The sequence below is a fragment of the Homo sapiens genome, chromosome 15, assembly GCF_000001405.40.
Source record: "Homo sapiens chromosome 15, GRCh38.p14 Primary Assembly".
NCBI classification, from domain to species: Eukaryota; Metazoa; Chordata; class Mammalia; order Primates; family Hominidae; genus Homo; species Homo sapiens.
The window spans coordinates 62,108,943-62,117,125 of record NC_000015.10 but is presented as its reverse complement, the minus strand read 5'-3'; the positions used below and the strand labels follow the sequence as shown (position 1 = coordinate 62,117,125).

Genomic DNA, 8,183 nt, shown 5'->3' with positions numbered 1-8,183 from the left:
ACTGCACTCCAGCCTGGGCAACAAGAGCAAAACTACGTCTCAAAAAAAAAAAAAAACAAAAAACCCAGAATCTATTTCCCTACCCATGAGGTGTTTGCTCTTTGAGAATAGGGCTATAATTAATCCAGCTCCGTATCTCCAGTGCAGTCATTACAGATTCTCTAATAAAAGTTTTCCCAGGGCTGGGTGCAGTGGCTCACACCTGTAATCCCAGCACTTTGGGAGGCCGAGGTGAGCAGATCACCTGAGGTCAGCAGTTCGAGACCAGCCTGACCAACATGGTGAAACCCCGTCTCTACTGAAAATACAAAATTAGCCGGGCATGGTGGCCCATGCCTGTAATCCCAGCTACTTGGGTGGCTGAGGCAGGAGAATTGCTTGAACCCGGTAGGTGGAAGTTGCAGTGAGCCGAGATTGCGCCACTGCACTTTAGCCTGGGCAACAAGAGTGAAACTCCATCTCAAAAAAAAAAAAAAAAATTTGCCGAAGGGATGAATGAGCAGGTAAAGATGAAGTCAGGATGGCTAAAGCCCAGGATGAACTTAGAATTAAAGACAATTGTAAGAACTGTAGTAAGGCCAGGCACAGTGGCTCACGCCTGTAATCCCAGCACTTTGGGAGGCCGAGGCGGGTGGATCACCTGAGGTCAGGAGTTCAAGACCAGCCTGGCCAGCACGGTGAAACCCTGTCTCTACTAAAAATACAAAAATTAGCCAGTTGTGGTGGCGGGCACCTGTAATCCCAGCTACCTGAGAGGCTGAGGCAGGAGAATCTCTTAAACCCTGGGAGGCAGAGGTTGCAGTGAGCTGAGATCACGCCATTGCACTCCAGCCTGGGCAGTAAGAGCAAAACTGTGTCTCAAAAAAAAAAAAAAAAAATATATATATATAGAACTGTAGTAAGAACTGTTTTTATTTGGTTCAGAGCAGGAGGAACTGCAAAGGTGCAAGCCTATTATTTAGGGTAGGTGGTGTAATTAATGTTTATGGGAGACAAAGAGAAAGCACAACTGTTTTTTAACTTCACTCACCTATCAATGTTAATGATTTACAGAAAGAAAAAAACGTGGAGACCAGGAAATTGAACCTCAAGATAGCAGAAAGGAATGGCAAAACACCACCACCACCTGATTGTTTTGAACAGCTTCATATCCTGGTTCAGGCAAATTGCATGTAAATGAGATTGGCATGCCTGTCAGTCATCTGAAGAATTATGGAAAACAGGAAAAATCTAAAAGATTGGAGAGAGGAAAACACTGCCCCAATTGTCAAAAAAGGAAAGAAGCTGGAGTCTAGAAACTCTACAACTAATTGTTAAATGAAAGTTTTGTGAACTCTCAGTCTAGTGAGTAGAAATTCACCAGAAGCCAAGAACAGTTCACTGTAAATCATGCCCTTTACTTCTCTCTCTCTTTTTTTCCTGTTGGCCAGGCTGGAGTGCAATGGCGCGATCTCGGCTCACCGCAACCTCCGCCTCCAGGCTCAAGCGATTCTCCTGCCTCAGCCTCCTGAGTAGCTGGGATTACAGGCATGGGCCACCATGCCTGGCTAGTTTTGTATTTTTAGTAGAGACGGGGTTTCTCCATGTTGGTCAGGCTGGTCTCGAACTCCTGACCTCAGGTGATCTGCCCGCCTCGGCCTCCCAAAGTGCTGGGATTACAGGTGTGAGCCACCGCGCCCGGACTATTTCTCTTTTAAATAGGACTATTTGCAGGTCAGATCAGAAGCAGAAGTGTACAATGAACATAGTGTATCTGGATTGCAAGAAGGTATTAGACTCTTTCGTGATAGTATGGAGCAAGTTGGAGAAATGCTGATTGAATTACTAGAGAGTTAATCTGTAACCTTTTAAAAGGTGGAACCTAAAACATTATCAATTAATGATTGGAAGACGATTTCTAGATGCATACGGTTGCATACTGTAGATTTTTAATCTTGAATGGTCATGTTCAATATTTATGTCAATGACTTGGCTGCAGAGATTTATTAAGAAATGTATGATACTGAGTTTGATGTCAGCATTAGGACATAAAATGATTTCAGCAAGGTGAATAGTGAACTGATTTTAGCAAGGTAGAGTGTCATGGATATATAAAGTTTTGCATTTAGGCTTTAAACATGAACTGTCCAATAGAGAGAGAGAGACATGAGGCCCAACAGCAGTCCACACACAAGCGACCTAGGAGTTTAATTGACAAGTAGCTCTGTGAGAGCCAACAGTATGTTCTGGGCTACGAGAAAACTAAATTTAAACCTCAGATCGTTGTTGGAAGATTTAGTATCCCATAGCCAGAAAGCAATTAACGATAGTTTAAAAAGTAGGAGTATGGTGCCTGGATGGTGAAACATTCCACCCTGCTTTTTACAGAGCAGATAGCATGTAGGGCGCTGGAGGAGGTTTAGGTGCTGCAAGGGTCCCAAAGGGACTTTGATGCACTGGAGTGTATCATAGACACAGACACTAGGATGGCCTGGAGCACCAAAAACACCCTATGAGGAATTATGGAAGGTCCTGGGAATGTTTAGCCTTAAAATGAGAAAACCTGTGGGAAAGTGAGAGACATTTTCATAAATCTGAGGAAGTCGGTAAGAACCAGAGGTGAGACCGCTGGCTGCTATGACTCACGCCTGTAATCCCAGCACTTTGGGAGACTGAGGTGTGCGAATCATTTGAACCCGGGAGTTAAAGACCAGCCTGGGCAACATAGGGAGACCCTGCCTCTATAAAAAAAAAGACAAAAATTAGCCAAATGTGGTGGCATGCACCTGTAGTCTCAGCTACTAGGGAGGCTGAGGCGGAAGGATCACCTGAGCCCGCGGAGGTCGAGGCTGCTATGGGCCATGATTGAGCTGCTGCACTCCAGCCTTGGTGACAGAGCGAGACCCTGCCTCAAAAAATAAAAATAATTTAAAAAATAACTAGAAGTAAGTGAGAACTGCATAAGAAAAGAAGAACTTTCTGACGGTCAGAGCTATCTGAAAATGAAAGGAGGTATGCAGTAAGCTCCCTGGCACTGGAACTATCAGATGAACAAGGCTGGATCACCCCTTACAGAGGATTAGGCAAAATGATTTCATAGACAGGGTAAGTGTTGTGCTTGGTGGTTTCTAAGGGCCTCTCCAGTGCCAGGTTGTGGAGACGCAGGGTTCTGTCCTGCCCTGAGGGCAGGTGGAGGGGGCTTCTTCCATGGGGAGGAGAGCAGATCATGTGGCTTCCTTGCTGTCCCCTCGCTGCGGGCTCTCCTCCAGCCTGACATGGGGTTGCCTTTAGTTCCCATGGATTTCTGGAGGGGCTGATGGCTTTGCTCACTGTGCATGTCTCGTCCCTACAGCTGTCTTCTTTGGCCATCTGTAGGAACAGTGGGCCTCCCTGGCTCCCCTGGCCTTTGTTACTGCTTGTCTATCTGTTCTTGGACCCATTGATCCCTGAACCTGAGAGAGAACAGTGGGTGTCAGGGCAGTGAGGACTTGCTTGAGATGCCAAGAGTCTCTAGCTAAGCAGCATTGCTCCTTCCAGGGCAGGGAGCTGGCCAGGCAACCATGATCAGGTTCCATGGCAGCAGAGAGTCAAAGACCAGAGACACGGACCAAGCTGAAGTCTGGAGAAGACACTGGCTCTGAACTCCAGGACATCAGAAAAAATACCAAATTTGGAGGGGTTTGCTGGTGAGAGGCTGTGGGGTAGGCTGTAGAGCCAAGAGTTGGGAGTCTAGTAAAGATGGGACCAGAGCAAGAGGAGTGGGAGCCGACAGGATATAGGAACGGCCTGGGCCACCTTTATGGGCTGAATGGGTAGGACACATGGATGGGGTGGGGGGTTAGACTAAAGGGCCAGTAGGTGGACAGACTTCTGCAGGGAGACAGTGCTGCTGACCAAGGGACAGCAGGGCCTTGGTTTGTGTTAATGTGTGTGAGTGACGGTAACGGAAAGGGGTTGAACTTTAATTACTCCTCGACAGTCAGACAAGTGAAATGAGATCATCCCAGGGAGTACAAGCAGTGCCTGTGCACACAAGCCTAGAAGTCAGAGTGACTCAGGTTTAAATCCTGGCTCTGACACTCATCAACCACGTGTCCTCGGGCATTTAACTCCTGGAGTCTCTGTGTCCTCTCCAGTCTAAAGGGGACAATAATACAAACTCTCATGTGGTAGGCAGGAGTGGCTCTCGGGTGCCCCAAAGGCAAAGGAAGTTAGAACGGGCTATTTTCCCTTCCTTTGCTTTCATGTTTTCCTTTCTTCTTTTTCTCTTATTTTTTCAACTGTGATAGGCTGGCAGAAGCTGGAGCCATGCCCTGTTTCTAAGCAGGGTCAAGGCAAACACTCCTGTAGAAAAACCTGACAAACTGGGAGAGACTGGAGTCAGTAGCTCCATGGCAGGCAAGTCAATGCCACTAGCGTTGTCCTTCCAGGGCCATCTCCTTCCAGGGCCATCTCCTTCCAGGGTTGAATATCCCCTTGTCCAAGGATGGAATGCAGTCTCCAGCAACATGGTGGTTGTAGCTAGTAACTCTTCTGTCTGTCAAGAAAAACCACCTGTAGCTCCAGGGGAGTTAGTTTCAATGGGATTTTTCTGTCTTTCCTATTCCCATGCCAATGCATCTTCAGACTCACTTCCTCATGATAGCAACTATGCAGGCCAGTTTCCCTGTCTTTCCCCTCTTCCCTTTCTTCTCAGTCTATTCCCATATCCTTTGCTCAGTAGACAGGCAGTTATCTGCTCTACCCTCCTCCATTCACAAACGTCTAGGGTTTATAATTTTAGGAAGGTGCTGCAAAAATACACACCCCTTTTCAAAATAAATAAACACTCCTTTTAAATGATGAAGAAACAAAACTTTAAATCGGAAGTACACTTGGGGGTTGTCACCTTGCCAGCATGAGGGAACACATCATCACAGCACAGGTATGCACTGCGTTAATGATGGAAAGCTTCCTTCTCATCGTACACAAGCTTCAGGTCTTCCATTTGGGGGGCAATGTAGAGCAGAGATTACTTGCACATGAGGACATAAAATTGCCCCCACCCCAAATGATCAGGACTTGAAAAGATATTTAGAAAAGAAAAGAGAGAAGCTGATTGGATTTCAGGGAGTTTGGGGGTTCCTGGAGCCAAGAGCATAGCCATGGTCTAACTCTGGGGAGCCCCCACAAATCAGTGAGCCTCACCCTAATTGTCTGAGGATGAACTTGGGCTGGGTCAAGGGTGAGACCTGAATTACTAGCTGATGGGTATATGTACATTGTGTGTGGTGCTGTTGGACCACCTTCTCTATAAGTCACAGGGTTGACCTTTGGTGTATCAATTATGGCTAGACGCATCCACCCCTTATCGCACTTCTTCCTCTGACTTTACAACACTGGGGGCATAACTTTCTTACCAACGTGCCTCCTTAAATTGTTGAAAATGCACTTGTTGGCTGGGCGCGGTTGCTCATGCCTGTAATCCCAGCACTTTGGGATGCCGAGGTGGGAAGATTGCTTGAGCCCAGCAGTTTGAGACCAGCCTAGGCAACATAGGGAGACCCCATCTCTACAAACAAACAAAACAATTAGCCGGGCATGGTGGTGTGTGCCCATAGTCCCAGCTACTTCGGGGGCTGAGGCGGGAGGATCACTTGAGCCCAGGAGGTAGAGGCTGCAGTGAGCCATGATTACACCACTGCACTCCAGCATCAGTGACAGAGCAAGACCTTGTCTCAAAAAAAGTAAAAAGAAAAAGAAGAAAGAAAATGAACCTCTTTAGAGAAGGAGCCCAAGGGGTGTGACCACCTGCTCTGCTCCCACAGGTATGCCCCATCTCCTCATGGGCTCAGCCCCGCTTTCTGCCTTTCCTTGATTACTCTGAGATACACCTGTTTCCTTTCAACACAGTCCCTGTGATTTGTTGAGCTAGTTTGAAGGGTTTCTGTTCTCTTCTCCCTGAAAAAGACCCTCACATTACACAGGGATAAAATGACAGCGTTTGTCTGCAGGAAGGAGGGAGTCTGCGCAAAGAGGAAGGTGTAGCATTGCTTCCTGAGCCCTAGACAGAAGGTAAGTGCGTATGGGTAGGAAGGGGAAATTGGCTTCACTGAGGCAACGCTAGAAAGGCATTTTAAGTAGGGATTTAAGTAGGCATTAGGATGGGAGGAGGAGTCATTTGATAATTCAAAGTTGGATAATTGTTCTTTTGTTCCATGATCAGAAAATGTGGTTGTACCCTTTCAAAACAGGACTTCACCAACATTGAAAATGCCTTTTGTTTTATTATCATGTTTACTATGTCTTTGCTTGGCAAAAAGAAAGCACAGCCCACTGGTGACATTAATATTAACATGTACGAAGGGAAACATGAATAGTATTTGGCTCCAGCAAGAAAGAACACACAATAATGATGAGAGAAATGTGAGTCAATTATTCTGCCAGTGACTCAGAAATTCTGCTGTCCTAAATGAATCATTTGTAGAGGCCAAACAAGTATTATATAGGAGACATCATACCAAACAGAGGGACAAATCTGACACTCTATAATAGCTCTTTTTGTCATTTATGGTCCAAAACAGATGAGCTCTGGAACATGTAATTTTATTGCTGAAATCAATAAAGTCTGGCCTCAGGCCAGTGCTTAGAATAGCTGTTGCAATTGTCTGGCAGATGGAGAGACTGCTGTTGCAGGCCTCCTGGACTCACCCTTCTTCTCTTGGCCCAGATTCAAACCCAGCCCCCCAACCCACCCCTTTCCACCCTAGTCCATGGCAGGCATCGCTCCCCTCTCCATGTTTATTGAGAGGCTTCCCCAGTGCACACCCAGCACCTCTACACTTAAGTGTGATGTACCTTGGCTTCTCTCTTTCTCAAAAACCAAACCAAACCTAACAAACATTATTTTTCCAAGCTCTTCAGCACAGGCTGAGTCATAAATGTCACTGGTCACTTCGGGACTTTTCTCTCCCACGTGGGAAAAGGATTTCATGCTAGGCTACCAACTGATATCTGTCACGCCCCATACTGTGGGGCCCAGGAGTCTCCCAGCACTTTGGGGCATTGGTCAGAGCACTGACCTGGGAGGCTGAGGTTTAAGGTTCTTGTTGTGGTTCTGTCACTAATGGGCTATGTGAGCCGGAACAAGACCCTGTAATTCTCTAGACCTGGTTTCTCCATCTGTTTGGACTAGAATCAGGGGCTTTCAAATTGTTCTGCAGAGTTGCTTCAGGGGATCTGCAAACTCTTGGGTCAAATTTTATTGAAAAAGTAAAGCATATTTAAATCATGATAAAAGACAGTCAGAATAATCAAATAGATAATATTTTAATTTTAACTGTTAGAATACATGAGCACATTTATTGTGAGTTTATTCTGTGGTCTTGGAAAAAAATTATCTGGATATCTCTTGTACATATATTTAAATATTTTATACATGTGTGTTGACCTGGAAGGTTGCCACTGGTCTTGTCTTAAAATCAGGGCTGTGCATGTGCATTAGCATAGCTTCTGTGGGTCACACCAGATTAAAGGCCATGCCAAGCTCAGATGCATCTGCTTGGCACACACTCTCATTACAGACCAGTTCTCACTTGTGCAATAACCAATAAATGCCAAACATATCGCAATGTGAAAGTATCATATTGTAGATCATTTAAGCAATTATTGTGTTTTTTCTGGGTGATTTATTATGAGATATTTACATGCATACACACCTAAGTGTTTATATACAAACATGTAATCTTTGTATATATATATATATATATGTGTGTGTGTAATATGATCTCTCAAGTTTAAATGACAGTTTTATCAATATGTCCCATGAGGTTGACAGAGACCTATTAAAAAATCTGGGAACCATTAAGCATTACTTATCTGTGTGGTAAGGATTTCCTGATACTGAGTAGCCAAAACAATAAAACAACATCAACAACATGTTACTAAAGATGATAAAAAATTTAACTGTCATCTAATGTCAACATTTCTTTTTTATTTCTAATTGATAAATTATAACTGTATATATTTCTGGGGTATAATATGATGTTTTGATATATGTTTGCAATGTAGAATGGTTAAACCAGGCTAGTTAACAATTCCATCATCTCCTATACTTTTTAAATAGTAAAGTTTCATTTTTAAGAGAGTCTTTTATTTATCTCTTACTTATACTATTTTGGGTTATAATTGGCAAACTTTATAAATTTCAAGTAAAATGAATTTAT

The 8,183-nt window shown here is 44.5% G+C and overlaps 2 annotated features.

Moving 5' to 3' along the window:
- Positions 1,281-1,511: a silencer, noted in NCBI's record as "fragment chr15:62407814-62408044 (GRCh37/hg19 assembly coordinates)". NCBI's record gives its function as "represses an EF-1alpha promoter that drives an FKBP-Casp9 reporter gene in an ReSE screen in K562 erythroleukemia cells {active_cell/tissue: K562}" and the evidence as "EXISTENCE:reporter gene assay evidence [ECO:0000049][PMID:32094911]".
- Positions 7,050-7,250: a silencer, noted in NCBI's record as "peak2366 fragment used in MPRA reporter construct". NCBI's record gives its function as "represses an SCP1 promoter by STARR-seq MPRAs in K562 erythroleukemia cells {active_cell/tissue: K562}" and the evidence as "EXISTENCE:reporter gene assay evidence [ECO:0000049][PMID:32103011]".